Source organism: Homo sapiens, chromosome 4, assembly GCF_000001405.40.
Source record: "Homo sapiens chromosome 4, GRCh38.p14 Primary Assembly".
In the NCBI taxonomy this organism is placed as follows: Eukaryota; Metazoa; Chordata; class Mammalia; order Primates; family Hominidae; genus Homo; species Homo sapiens.
In genome coordinates this window covers 144,209,547-144,225,457 of record NC_000004.12, presented here as the reverse complement: position 1 = coordinate 144,225,457, position 15,911 = coordinate 144,209,547, and the positions used below count along the sequence as shown (strand labels likewise).

The 15,911-nt window shown below is 37.6% G+C and overlaps 1 long non-coding RNA gene across 2 annotated transcripts in view; it reads left to right on the top strand.

Moving 5' to 3' along the window:
- The window catches only part of LOC105377462 (uncharacterized), a 360,687-nt gene that overhangs the window by 336,690 nt on the left and 8,086 nt on the right, over positions 1-15,911 (top strand). For both annotated transcript variants that reach the window (XR_939273.3, XR_939272.3), the window contains 3 exons: positions 4,686-4,755; positions 9,284-9,365; positions 14,445-14,685. This is a non-coding gene — a long non-coding RNA (uncharacterized LOC105377462). The remainder of the gene's footprint in view (positions 1-4,685; positions 4,756-9,283; positions 9,366-14,444; positions 14,686-15,911) is intronic.

Here is a 15,911-nt window from a genome sequence, read left to right as displayed (position 1 = left end):
CTTGTTTATACTGCTCTGCCTTGGAAAAAGACAAAAAGACAACATTTTTTCCTAAAATACTTGACATATTTTAGTCTCTCATTATAACTTAAAACAATTATCTTTGCAAAGATTTGTTAAAGCTTTTTTACTTCAAAAGAATAGTAATTTACCCAATTTGAATTTCTTTTCAAAAATTTTAATTGAAGAAACCAAAGCCATATTAGACAGTTTTATTTAATTTGGGAATAATTTGGAAAATATTTCTATTCTATACTTTATTCAAGAGAAAACTACAACAGAATTCAGCAGAAGTAAAGTGAAAAAAGGACAAAGAATCTTTCATCTAAGACATTTCCCACCACTTCCTGTAATACAGCCTTCTCTTTAAAAAAAAAAAGAAAAAAGAAAAAAGAAAAGAAAAACCTCTGGAAAAATGCCATTTTCTGTTATCTCTTTAGTCTACTTCTATTTAGCTTCAGTCATTTTAGCCTACCAACAAATCTAATAAACAGCCCTATTTGGCATGTTTTTTGTGTTTATGCATTTATAACTTTTTTTACTTTTTCTTTATTTACTTTTGTGTTTCTCCCCCTTTTAATGTATTTTATGTTCTGTGAAGAAAGGGACTTTGTCTTTTCTTGACCTTAAAAACTTGAGCTTAAAAGCTTGTCTATAGATGGTGTTCTCATCTATTATTGAATGATCAAAAAAGAAAACCGTATTTCATATCTTCAAATAGCAGAAGTCAACAAGGAAAAGCCTACCTACTTTATTAGAAGAGAATTTATTATCAATCACTTTTAATCATTTGATTGAGATCTTTATTTTTATCTTGCTAGATAAATGTTATGGTATAGTCTTCCAAAGAAGAAGTCACAGTAACTACTATAGGCAGAAGTCATTTAAAGGAAATATAAAATTAAAAGACAAAATTACATTAGAAATTCATTATAAAAGCAAATATAAAATTAAAAGATAGGGCGGGGTGTGGTGGCTCACATCTGTAATCCCAGCACTTTGGAAGGCCAAAGTGGGTGGATCACCTGAGGTCAGGAGTTCAAGACAAGCCTGGCCAACATGGCGAAACCCCATCTCTACTAAAAGTACAAAAACTTAGCTGGCATGGTGGCAGGTACCTGTAATCCCAGCTACTTAGGAGGCTGAGGCAGGAGAATTGCTTGAACTTGGGAGGCGGAGGTTACAGTGAGCCAAGATTGTGCCATTGTACTCCAGGCTGAGCAACAAAAGCAAGACTTCATCTCAAAAAAGAAAAAAAAAAATTGAAAGACGATTACATGAGAAATCCATAAGAATTGTAATTTCACACACATATACACTGTGACAAACACACACAATGTGTAGTCATTCATAGGAGTTTATGTAACATAAGTCCTTCTAAAACTTAGCCAGTTTTGTTCTCTTTAAGATGGATAATGTGTTAGCAATATAATAGAAGGATTTTGTGCCACGTAAACCAAGAATTCAGAATGCAAACCATTGGACCCACAGGATAAGTTTGTTTTATCTGAGCTTGGAAGAAAAGGACCTATGAAAACAAACCAATTTGCTTCCCATCCAAATTATCAACTGGAGAGATTCTTCAGCAGAATACCAGAAACAGATGTGAATGCCTTTTCTCCGTGACTGCAAGCCAGTAAATAATTTCTTGCTATTTTATCCCTTTATGATAAAACCTCAAGCTCCCATTCATACCAGGAGAGAGGAAAACCCTAGGAGAAATATGATATCATTTTGCTCAATTTTTTTCATCTCTCCTGTAGATACTGGATAGGTTACCAGGTCTCTCAACTGTGTTTTACACTGACAGTGTTTTTAGGATATGGCCTCTTTAGAACATACTTTCTCCAGTCTGCAAAATAAGCTTAGTTTCTGAATTTTGAAGAGGTGACATATTAAGCATCCTTCCACTTTTAAAACAAAGGGGACTCATATAGTAATGATTTTATGTACTAAAATGACTGAATTTTCTATTGAGAATGATTTATTTTTCTGGAGCCTGTATTTTCCAGGAGAAGCTAATGTGTTAGCTTTTGTATCCTTGGAAGCATGAGTTCAAATTTGGCCCATGGTTAAGCAACAAGCAACAGTGTTTGGCCTGGTCTCAAGCTATTCTCTGGGTTTCTACATCATCATCTCCCACACACAACTCAACACCATTAACACAACTGGAAACATCTGCTGGACAAAGAGCCCAGATTTGAGTAGACAGGATAGCCAAAGACTCCCAATACTGCACTATGAGAAAACCAAAACTTACCGCTATAATCAAAAGCAAAGTCAGGAAACTATTTGAGATTTACATAGATTAGGGGGAGCTGGCCAATGGGTTCTAGAATTCTTTATAGAAATCTGGACTTTTAAAGAAAACTGTGCTGTTCACTTACATTTACAACTATTTGACTACTTGGGTGGGCCCCTCTCTGAAGATAAATTCATGGAGCCACATATCCTCCAAATGTACATAGGTTGTAGATTTCAAGTGGTGTAAAATGTCCTAGATCCTTATGAACTTAAACACAATCACAGATGTTCTGGAATGAGGGAAAAAGTCATGTTTAAAAACGCTAGCAGGTAGAGCAGTCAGTTTAAAACTAAATGGAGTCATTTTCAAAAACTTTCTTGCTTTGTTCTTAGCACCTCATTCCCCCCCATTCCCCTTCCTTTAACAAAAGAAAAAAAAATTAAAGTGTTTATGTAATGAAAGATATCACTATGATATTAAAAATAAAATTGTTTCTCGAGAGAATTTTTTAAGTCTGCTATTTACCTTAGGTACAGCATTCATCATCTGATAGCACTCTGTGAAGGCACCTTAACTCTCAGCTAAGCTGCTCATAATTAATCCCATTTTACAGACTGATATTTTCACTTTGTAATGTTTTAAAATCTTGTAATAAATATATACTGTAGTTTCTGTGATCAATAATATTTAAAAGAAAAAAATGGTCATCTTTCTCAGGAAATTGATCTTGAGAAACAAGGTTATACATGAATACTTAAGAAAAAGTTTGCAGGGATGTGTGTTTTTATGACCACATAGAAAGGAGGAGAATTCAAACATGCCAAACAGTTTCATCCAGAGGAACGATACCACCAAACATCTTCAATAAAATGTAAAGTCATCAACTGTTGTATTTGAGGGCAGAATATGAGCTGAATCAAAGAGAGATCATAAGAAAAAATAGTAGAAAGATGATCTCCATACAACACTCATGTCAAGTTTGCCCCAGTTAGGTTAAATACAGAATCTAACAGTGACATTTTTTTGACAGGCACAATTTGGTTTGGAAAAAGCAGTCATATTCTGCATCAACATCTGTTCCTTGGTGTAGACAAAGTAAGAAGAAACAGATACAGAGTAACTGCAACAACTTAGTCTATCAAAGGGCTTCATACAAAATTCCCACTGCTTCAGAGCAACCTTAAGAATGAGAATGAGCCATGCCTAAAATGGACTACTGCTGAGGCTTGAGACTCAAAAGGAAGGTGCAAAGCAAGTTAGTGATTCCTGACTAAAAGCAGGCACATGGTTCCAGGAGTCCTGGCAAACCTCTAATCATAAAATCTAAGGAATTGGCTGATCACGGTGGCTCACTCCTGTAATCTCAGCACTTTGGGAGGCCGAGGCAGCTGTATCACCTGAGGTCAGGAGTTCAAGACCAGTCTGGTCAACATGGTGAAACCCCGTCTCTACTAAAAATACAAAAATTAGCCAGGTGTGCTGGTGTGCGTCTGTAATCCCAGCTAGTCTACTCGGGAGGCTGAGGCAGGAGAATTGCTTGAAGCCAGGAGGCAGAGGCCACAGTGAGCCGAGATCGTGCCACTGCACTCCAGCCTGGGCGACAGGGCAAGGCTCCATCTCAAAAAAAAAAAAAAAATCTAAGGAATTTTAGAGGCAGGGAGAATAAAAATTACCTAGTCTTATCTTTCAACATTTTACTCAAGGATACAAAACGGAAAAGGGACAGAGCCAGTTCTAGAATCCAGGTCCTCCAATTTCCAGTTCAGTGCTGTTTCTACCACACCATCAGGCCTATGTGACTTAGCAAACATTGAGCCAATGACAGCCTTGGGTAAACCCTGGCTAGTGCAAGTTTGGTTCTACATGGCTCTGTGCCTTGAAGTTTCAAGTAAATGGAGTGCTCACATTCCTAAGTATCTCATCTGCTTATCTTAGTTTCTTTTGTGTGGTACTGGAATATGCCTATTTTTCATAGCTTTAGGAAGCTGGAAATAACTGCAGTTTCGAAAGAAAAGCACAGAATAAATACTAAATCATTTCCCAAAAAAAACTCAAAAATTAATTTGCTAATTATGGGTTTGTCAAGTATTCTATAAATACTTTAATTTGGGCCTGAGTTAACTGCAGACAGTTTTCAGCAAAGGCAAAATGAAGTAATTCTATTCACCTTTGGGTGTGTTGTAAATTCCAGCATTTCTCTTGAGGACCACCCCTATTATGGGTTGAACCTGTCCCCTAAAAAACATGTGTTAGGTTAATCCCTGATGCAACAGTCTTGGTAGGTAGGGCCTAATGAGAGGTGATTAGGCCATGAGGGCACTGCCCTCTTGAATAGATTAATGCCATTATCTCTGACTGGGTTTCTTATAAAAGGATGAATTAGCACCCTTTTTGCTCTCTCTCTCTCTCACCCTCTCATGCTCTTCTCCCTTTTGCCAAGGGATGATACAACAAGAAAGCTCTCGTAAGATGTCAGCTGCTTGATTTTGGACTTCGCAAACTCTAGAACTGTGAGTCAATCAGTTTCTGTTCACTTTAAATTACCTAGTCTGTGGTATTCTGTTACGGTAGCACAAAATGAACTAAGACAACCTCCAAAGAGGAGATGTGGGCAGCAGCCCCTGGGCTAAACGTGGGTGTGACTGCAGGGCAGGGTCAGTTGCTCAGCTTCCACAAGGCTCAGAGTCCAAACCCCTTCTCACTGTTTTCTCTACCCAACACCCACCCATACTGCACAGAGCCATGGAACAGAGTTCCCAAAGAGGTCACTGCTTCTCTAGGTTAGCAGTGGGTTGGGTATGTTTTACATGTCCAGAATTTTATAAACAATAACTTATTAATTGTTCTTGGCAGACTATTCTTCCAACTCAACTGTACTTATATTTGCTATTCTATGAATTGTTTATTCAATGACTGGACTACTTCTATGAATGGAATTAAACCAAAAGCTACATATCATGGCAGTCAGACATGAGAATTTTTCGTCTGCTCCTTTACCCCTTGTTATAAAGCAATGACAGCACATAACAACATTTCCTTGAGTACTCTATTATTATAAATCCTATCTGTTTTGCATGGATGATGAGGGAAGGGATGCATGGATAAATGTGTGTAAAAAAATTCAGTAAAAATAAAAAGCCTGGCCAGGCACAGTGGCTCACGCCTGTAATCCCAGGACTTTGGGAGGCCGAGGCAGGTGGATCACGAGGTCAGGAGATCGAGACCATCCTGGCTAACACGGTGAAACCCTGTCTCTATTAAAAATACAAAAAAATTAGCCGGGTGTGGTGGTGGGCACCTGTAGTCCCACCTACTCGGGAGGCTGAGGCAGGAGAATGTTGTGAACCCGGGAGGTGGAGCTTGCAGCAAGCCGAGATTGCGCCACTGCATTCCAGCCTGGGCGACAGAGTGAGACTCCATCTCAAAAAATAAATAAATAAATAAATATAAAAAGCCTTAAGTTGTCTGTCTCCTTAAATGGATAAGCCACAGAATAATAAGTCTAGAGAAGCCCTAAAACTTTTCCATGGTCTACAATGAAGTTTTCACTAGAATGAGGCAAATTAAGGAAATGTAGTGAGTTTTTGCAAAAGCTAAATTTTCTATGATTTCAAATATCTTATTTCTTAGGCAGCAAAATGTCATTTTATTTAGTAAATATGGAAGATAGTAGAAAGTAGTTTTGTTTTTAATGTTACACTTGGCAAAATAAAATACTAACTTTTCTATTTAATAGTAATTTAACCACTCTGACTCAATTTTCTTATCCATAAATGCAATAATAACATCCTTATACACCTCAAAAAGGTATTATAAGTCAATTAAAATAACATTTGAGTAATGTAAATGAATGTAAATATCTAATTTAATATATAGTTGCCAATTATCATTGTCATTATGGCAATCAATTAACTGTGTACAGCAAGCAAGGGGAAGCAATGGAAAAAGTTCTGGCTGAGAAAATAAAAAATAGAATAGCTTTAACTTCATTGGTAGGATAAATGCATTTGGAATTTTTAATGGGGTTGCGGGGCACATTTTTTGTTAAACTTCTTCTGGAAAAGCTTCATGGAGGCTACATGGTCAAGTAATGTTTTGAATTTGTCTACAGATGTAGGAGGAGGTATGCTTTTCCACCGAACAGAAACTCAAATATAAAGACAAAGAGACAGAAATAAGCAAACTTTCAGTGGGGAATGATGAAGGACTGGCCCAGCTGAAGGGGGAAGTTCAATATTGGGAGAAGTGGGAGAAAAGTTTCAATGCATTAGGTGAAGCCAATTTGTGATGGGCCATGAAAGCCAACCTAGAGCATTTTTATTATGTTGGAGGGGAAAGGAGTGGCATATGAAAAGTGATATTTATAGGACATGGTGTCTCCTAAAATATCAGCGTAAATGAATAACTGTGGAGATTTCTCAAGGTCCCCCTTTTAGGAGATGAAAAATGTATCCAACAAAAGTGTAAGAGAGCGGATCTAATAATTAACTGACCCAGAAATACAAAGGGAGGACACAATTTTTTTAATATTTAGACTATAGTTTAAATTGCATGAGAATTTTTTAAAAGGTCTTAAGAGCTTCCACAGCTTTTTCAAGATATGGATTCTATGCCCAGTCTTCATGCATAAGCCAAACTAACAATATCTTGATATTGGACTTCTTTGGTGCATTTTTGCCATAAGTATATATTTCAAAATATTTATTTACTCAGATGAGAGAATATATAAATACTGCTTATATCTTTCTTGCCAGAGAATTATTTAGAAAAAGATACATAAATGAAAGACTAAATTATAATATTCTTGAGATTTTTCATCTCATTCAATTCTTTCTCTTTCAATTGATGAGAAATAGCTGGTACACTAGCAAAAGTCCCAAGTTGGAAGGCAGAGTAACATGTAAGTTCCTATTCTAGTTCTGCCACTAATTAGGTGATGATATGGTTTGGCTGTGTCCCCACCCAAATCTCAACGTGAATTATATCTCCCAGAACTCCCATGTGTTGTGGGAGGGACCCAGGGGGAGGTAATTGAATCATGGAGGCTGGTCTTTCCCATGCTATTCTTATGATAGTGAATAAGTCTCACAAAATCTGATGGGTTTATCAGGGATTTCTGCTTTTGCTTCCTCCTCATTTTCTTCTGCTGCTGCCACATAAGAAGTGTCTTTTTTCTCAGGCCATGATTCTGAAGCCTCCCCAGCCATGTGGAACTCTTAAGTCCAATTAAACCTCTTTTTCTTCCCAGTCTCAGGTATGTCTTTATCAGCAGCATGAAAATGGACTAATACAGTCAATTGGTACCAGAAGGGTGGAGCATTGCTGAAAATATACCCAAAAATGGGAAAGCGACTTTGGGGCTGGGTAATAGGCAGAGGCTGGAACAGTTTTGAGGGCTCAGAAGAAGACAGGAAAATGTGGGAAAGTTTGGAACTTCCTAGAAGCTTGTTGAATGACTTTGATCAAAAGCCTGATAGCAATATGGATAGTAAGGTCCACGCTGAGGTGGTCTAAGATAAAGATGAGGAACTTGTTGAGAATTGGGGCAAAGGTGACTCTTGTTATGTTTTAGCAAAGAGACTGGAGGCATTTTGCCCCTGACCTAGAGATTTGTGGAACCTTGAACTTGAGAAAGATGATTTAGGGTATCTGGCACAAGAAATTTCTCAACAGCAAAGCATTCAAGAGGTGACTTGGGTACTGTTAAAGGCATTCAGTTTTATAAGGGAAGCAGAGCATAAAAGATTGGAAAATTTGCAGCCTGACTACACGATAGAAAAGGAAAACCCATTTTTGGGGGGAGATTCAAGCCAGCTGCAGAAATTTGCATAAGTAGCAAGGCGCCTAATGTTAATCCCCAAGACCATGGGGAAAATGTCTCCAGGCCACATCAAAGACCTTCACGGCAGCCCCTTCCATCACAGGCCTAGAAGCCCAGGAGGTAAAAATGGTTTCATGGGCCAGGCCCAGGGTCCCTGTGCTCTGTGCAGCTTTGGGACTTGGTGCCTGCGTGGCGGAAAGGGGCCAATGTACAGCTTAGGCTGTGGCTTCAGAGGGTGGAAGCCCCAAGCCTTGGCAGTTGAGCCTGCATGTGCATAGAAGTCAAGAACTGAGGTTTGGGAACCTCTGCCTAGATTTCAGAAGATGTATGAAAGTGCTTGGATGCATAGGCAAAAGTTTGCTGCAGGGGCGAGGCCCTCATGGAGGACCTCTGCTAGGGCAGTGTGAAAGGGAAATGTGGGATTGGAGCCCCACACAGAGTCTCTATTGGGGCACAGCCTAGTGGAGCTGTGAGAAGAGGGCCACCGTCCTCCAGAACTCAGAGTAGTAGATCCACCAACAGCTTCACCATGTGCCTGGAAAAGCTGCAGACCCTCAACACCAGCTTGTGAAAGCAGCCAGGAGGGAGGATGTACCCTGCAAAGCCACAGGAGCAGAACTGCCCAAGACCATGGGAACTCGCCCCTTGCATCAGCATGACCTGGATGTGAGACCCGGAGTCAAAGGAGATCATCTTGGAGCTTTAAAAAATTTGACTACACTGCTGGATTTTGGATTTGCATGGGCCCTGTAACCCCTTTGTTTTGGCCAATTTCTCCCATTTGGAATGGCTGTATTTACCCAATACCTGTACCCCCATTTGTATCTAGGAAGTAACTAGCTTGTTTTTGATTTTACAGGCTCATAGGAGGAAGAGACTTGCCTTGTCTCAGATGAGACTTTGGACTGTGGACTTTTGGGTTAATGCTGAAATGAGTTAAGACTTTGGGGGACTGTTGGGAAGGCATTATTGGTTTTTAAATGTGAGAAAATGAGATTTGGAGGGGCCAGGGGCGGAATGATTTGGTTTGGCTGTGCCCCCACCCAAATCTCAACTTGAATTGTATCTCCCAGAATTCCCACGTGTTGTGGGAGGGACCCAGGGGAAGTAATTGAATCATGGGGGCTGATCTTTCCTGTGCTATTCTTGTGATAGTGAATAAGTCCCACAAGATGTGACAGGTTTATCAGGGGTTTCTGCTTTTGCTTTCTCCTCAGTTTCTCTTGCTTGCTCCTGCCATGTAAGAAGTGCCTTTCGTTTCCGGCCATGATTCTGAGGCCTCCCCAGCTGTGTGGAACTGTAAGTCCAATTAAACCTCCTTTTCTTCCCAGCCTTGGGTATGTCTTTATCAGCAGCATGAAAACAGACTAATACAGATGATAAGGAAAATCACTGAATGTTTCCATGTTAGTTTCCTTTTTAAAATGATGAGGTTAAACAAGTTAATCCCTAAGACTTCTTTTAAAATTACAATCACCTCTTTGTATCCTGGCCCATACCAAAATCCACAGATGCTCAAGTTTCTTACATAAAATAACATTTGCATATAACCTAGGCACATCCTCCCATATACTTTAAATCATCTCCAAATTACTTGTGATACTTAATATAATGTGAACACTATGTAAATAGTTGTTATATTGTATTTTAAATTTGTATTATTTTTATTTTTGTTTTTTTCCTTAATATTTTTGATCTGTGATTGGTTCAATTGCAGATGCAGAATCTGTGAATTTGGAACCTGCAGATATGGAGAGCCACTGTGTGGGGTTAAATAAGTTATTGTCTAAGAGTTTTTCCAGCTGTAACATTCCCTAATTGTAATTTCCTAGTCCTGTGACATTGCAATGAGTTCTTGACTACCTAGTTTAGGCAGTTATAGATAAAAAATACTTTGGAGTAAAAGAAAAAGAAAACTGTCTATAAAACGGAAAAACAGGGACTTTTTTTTTTACTTTTGTGTAAAACCATTTTTATGGATTGGAGTCAACATTATTTAGGAGATAAAAGCCATGGGATTGAAGATTTTAAATAAAATAAGTACTAAATCCCATTTGTATCTGTGCAGACAAACGCTAAAGGATGGAAAGAATATTTTAAATAAAATAAAGTACAAGTTATAAATTCCAACCTCTGTGAAACCTATAGTTAGAACCCTTGTTTCCACAAATTTTAGAGAATATTTTTTCTCTAGAGAATATTTTACTTTTAGAGGATATTTTTTCATTAAAGATGTGTGTGTGTGTGTGTGTGTAGTGTATATACATATACATTCAGAAACTGAACACATTCTCAAAGTGTGTGTGTGTGTGTGTGAGAGAGAGAGAAAGACACTATGCTATGCACATATTATAGAAGATAAAATCTAATAGAGTACCTTCATCTTTGAAAATATAAGGCCTACTAAACTGCTGAATAAAGAGATAATCAAATAATTATGGACACAAATAGGTTTTATTATACTCAGAAAAGTAAGGTCAGATATTTGCACATTAAAATTATATTTGGGGAGTCAAATATTTATTGATGGTTTACCTTACTTTTATAAAAAATTCAATGTTTCCCAAATTTAGATGCTTAAGAATATATCTCATGCTTATTGGCTCTTGGGAAATTATTATAGGAGTGTGACCTAATCAAAAATTCAGTTGTTTAATTCAGTTGATAATAAACTGAATTAAAAGATATATTTCTGCTGTTATTTGGTTGGTTCTTATGGTGTTATTTAAGGAAAGAAACATCATACTAAAAAGTTTAACCTAGAGCTGTACTTTGTAAGCATAAAAGGTAAATAAACAAATTCATGACATCAACTATCACAACATTGGATGAAGTTCTGTACTGTTCAATTTAAAGTGGTGTGGGTTATTTAGATTAGGTTCAGAGGAAATAACTGCAGGCCCCTGCAGGAAAGATAGAAGTAGAAATTAGCCAGACCTTTCGCCTTTTCAGCCATGGCACACTCAGTTGTCATGGGTTATAGGTGTTCCAAGATACGGTCCTCCCAGCAGCAGGTTGGTCATGGAGACTTCAGTAGATCACCTTCAGCCTCATGAAACTTCTTCCGCCTACTCTAATGCACTGTACAAAATTATCATTTTCTATGTGTTCTTTCTGAAGAGGGTTGGGCATACTGGATCAGTCCATATTTAAGAAAAGCTAGGGACAACCTATTAGTAAAAAGCATATATTCAGAAACTGACTACAAAATACTAATCAAATAAACATTTGCCCCACCATTTTTCTAACACCTGGATGTTCTGAACACCCATACTATTGACATAAGGAAAATATGCAATTGGGTTAGCTCCTAAGTACCCACAGACATCAAGTGTCACATAGTTAACAGTGGGAGCATTGCTTTCCTCACTCCATGGTACAGACACAATGAACTCATCTCCCAAATGCTTTTTGCAAATCCACACAAAGACATCAAATTAAGTAAGATATTACAGAATTTAACTGAAGGTGACATATGAAATAGAAGTTGCTGAGGAGGGAATCTGAGGAGTTGGCCAGGGTTTTACACTGAAATTTCCCCCTCTTGTGCACACTTTTTCCAGGAGAGCTATGTCCAGAAATCATCCCTGCTTGTTTTCTGTGAGGCCACCACATCTCATCAGCTAACAATTAGAACTCCGATAGGAACATGTTAGAGTAGTTAAAAGGGTGAAGCTATGAGTTGTTTCCTAATTACAAACTGGTATCCTGAGAACGCAGAACCCTTATTAATAAACGAGTACATTGCGAGAGCACATTTTCCATTTCTTAAATCAGGAAGATTTATGACACTATGTGGTCATGCCTTGTAACTGATGTTTCCAATGAAGACTAATCTAATTTCCCAGTGCAAATCACACTGATGTGACCTAGAGACATTTCTGTTATGTCACAACAGCATTTAATATGAGCTGAAATTAGCCAGAATTACACCATGTTTCTGGCAAATAGTATGCTCCAAAAATATCACCATAGTAACATGTGTATTCTATCAACAATTCCCCTTTCATATTTTAAGGTTGCATTCTATCAATAATTTTGAAGTGCATGAAACAATTGTTTTGGAGCACCAATCAGTTTCTATAAGGTATCTGTAACTCAATTTAAATGGCATATAGGATTTTTAAAAATATTTCCCTTTACTTAAGGAAACATTTACTTGCTCATTAGGCCAGATCAACTTTGCAGATGTAGTGAGAGCTTCCAGAGATGTTTTATATGACCAAGTGCTGAAATTCATTTTCTTTTTACTGTTTCTTTCATCACCTTCTAAGAAATTATATGTTCATTCCAAGGAGTTAAGTCTCAACTGACCATGGAAAGGTAATTTTTTAAAGTTTGCTTCTTTAAGCTAAGAGGACTCATACAGGAAACATTGCAAGTTCATATCCTCAAAGAGGCTTTAGTTCTCACTTCAGCAATTGATGGAGAAATCTCTTTTGATTATATATATATATATATATATATATACACACACACACATGAATGAAATGGTTATAACTGGCCCTTCACAGTTTTAAAACCATTCATTTCCTCCTTTCATCAACTAGGTTTGTTAACTGTTTATGTAAGTAACAATTAGTATGGGGTGAATTTGAAAAATGATAACTAAATTTATTATAATACTCCAGGTTGATGTGTGGATGGTTAAAAGGGAAAAAAAGAAGAGAAAAGAAGAAAAAGAAGACAAAGGGAGAGAGGGGATATTATTTCAATGCCATTGGTTTTCACACAATGGATATTGTACAAGTAACAACTGGGTTTTAAAGAAAAAAATCACTTTTTTGGTTTTCCTGAAAAAGGAGCCAAAATTGTAAGATGCTGAACATGAGCGCTTGTGGGTGAAAGGCAAATAATGATGCCAGAGGATGGGAAATAATTTCAAAAGGCTGTAATTTGATAAAAGTTTAAAATTCTCTTAACTGAAGTAATGGCCTATCATGTGAAGATCATGTGTGAACACTTCAGTTTTCTGTATATAATAAACTTCAGCTTGATACCATTAGGAATGATAAAAGGATTGTTTTGTATAAAGAGATGGCATTTGATTAATCATATTCAGGGTACTGTATATGAACAATGAACTTTTCAAAGATGTTAGCTTTATCTTTACGTTTTTGTCGCCATCTGTAAATTAATGATCTAAAAACCAAAACATTTCATGTAAAGTCATTTATTTTTTAGTTTGACTTGAACTCCTGAACTATATTGCAACTCTATGTTGGCATTTTCTCTTCTAACAACATACTTCGTGTGCTCTATTGGCCTCATTTGAAATAACTTTTTGTTTGTTTCTCTCTGTGTTTATCTTTCTGGTTGCTTGTATCGTGTTTCATTAAGTTTATAGCAATGTGGACAGTGACCTATATTTTAGTTTTTTTTAGTAGAATTCTTCTTCATTCTTTGATAAACAACCATTTATAACTTGTGGGAAACTTTGACACAAAGAAACAGGACCATATTTTGTTTAAACTATGACAACAGAGAATTTCTTTGATATGGCATTCACTTATTCAACACTGTTTCATTAATAACTATGCTGTTCTAGGTATTGTGCATCTCAGTGGGTGGAAATGTGTAAGCAAAATATATATGGTCCCTTCCCACTGACACTGATAATCAAAAAACAAAAACAAAAACAAAAACACATAGCAACATTTCTAATAATGAATATCAATAGGTGTTATAAACAGTGTATAAGTCTAGAGAAAAACAAGATGGGACATAATTTAGATTGGGGAGCTAAAAAAGGTTCCCTAAAGTTTAATCTGATACTTGAAGATTTGTCAAAGAAAGAGAATTTGTGTGATGGTGGCTGGTTAAAAAAAAAAAAAAAAACAACACAATATGTGTATTGCAGGGGTGGGGACGGGGTGCAAGGTGGAGGGAGCTAGAGATCTGCATCATAAGGAGTTAGGACAGAGCAGTGACAGATAAGGTCAAAGTGATGGGCTGGGGTCAGAACCACAGGGACCCCAAAGGCCTTACTAAGAGGTTTGAATTTTATTGTAAGTGTGATGTGGTGTGATTTGAGACTCTTAAGACTGACAATGTGATGTTTTCAAAAAATCACTCTAGCTACTTTCTGAAGAATGGAATAGAGGGAAGGAAGACTAGATACAAGGAAACTCAGAAGACTAAAATCCAAGCAAGATATTATGGTCCATTTGATGGGAGACTTGGCAGTAAAGATAGAGAGAGGTAGATAGATTTGAGATGTATTTTGGAAGCAAATCAACAGGACTTGATGAGACAACGAATCTTAGAAAATTATTCTCAGGTTTCTTGCAATGGTAGGCAGCCTCTATAATGCTCCCAATTATCTCCACTTCCAAACCTCTCCCTCATTGTAACAGAGTTGTTCTGTGTGTTCAACAGAATATGGCAGATATAACAGCACGTAATTTCCAAGGCAAGGTCATAAAAGACATTGTAGCTTCTGCCTTGTCCCTTCCTCTTGGATCTCTTGCTATGGAGTAGCAGCCCCATGAAGACACCCGTGGTGGAAGATCACTGAGGACTCCTGCCAACAGCCACCCAGTGACTGAGGCCTCTTGCAGAAATCCATATGAGTGGGCCAGCTGACAAGAAAATCTTCCAGCTCTAGTCAAGCCTTCAGGTAACATTTTGACCATAATCTCATGAGAAATCCTGAACCAGAACCACTGAACTAAGCTGCTTCTGAACTCCTTATCCACAGAAACTGCAAGATAATAAATTGGTAATATGAGCTACTATGTTTTGCAGTAATTTGTTACATAATAATAGATAAGTAATGTATTTACTTAAGGTCATTGGGAGCACTATTTACTAAGTGGCTAAAGACTAGGGAAGAAAGAGATTTATAGGGAAGGATCAAGAGTTAGGTTTATACATCTAGAACTGTATATTCCTTGAAATACTCTAACATTGATGTCATGCAGAGAACAGAATACAAGAATATATGGAATTCATAAATGTGATCTGAGCTAATGATATAAATTTTGGAATTACAAGGTTATAGATAATGTCAACCATAAAAACAGATATAATCACTGAGAAAGAATATGACATATTAATAAAAAAGATGGCCTAGAATCCCAAAACTCAGATGTCTGAATCTGAATTCAGATATCTAGGAATCCCAAAATTCAGATATATTGAACCTGTCTTACACCACTTTAGCCCACTTCTCTCTCCAAGTCTCTCTTCTTCCAGCCACTTTGAAGGTGACTAATTCCACATACACTTCTACAACTTTTGAACAGTTGCAACCTGACAAGACCTCTTATCAGCCCACGTTGGAGCTTCTCTGTGTGCTTCTCATGAGCCACTCAGCACTCATGCATGTATAATTTGAAAGTGAAGAGCAATTATTGCCCATGAAATCACCAATGGGAGATCAAGCAGTGATGGATAAATGCTTCTTCTGTTCTTCCCCAGGCACATAGTTCTGAGATGCATTTCAAAGGGTCCTCAAAAGCTATTCCAGGATCCAGGACCAATTGCCCAAAATTGTGGCTGACTTATTTTTGTATTGGTTTTCTCTCTTTTCCTATTTCCCTTTCTCTTTCCCTCAACCCTGCTTCCTGGGATCACAGCACGAATAAACTATTTGCCTGCAAGGTTTTATCTGCTTTCTGGGAAACTCAGTGATATGGTTAGGCTTTGTGTCCCCCCACAAAATCTTATCTTGAATGGTAATCCCCATAATCCCCAAGTGTCAAGGGAGAGACCAAGTGGAGGTAATTGAATTATGGGGGCAGTCTCTCCCATGCTATTCTTGTGATCGTGAGTGAGTTCTCACAAGATCTGATGGCTTTATAAGGAGCTCTTCCCCATTCGCTCAGCACTTCTTCTTCCTGC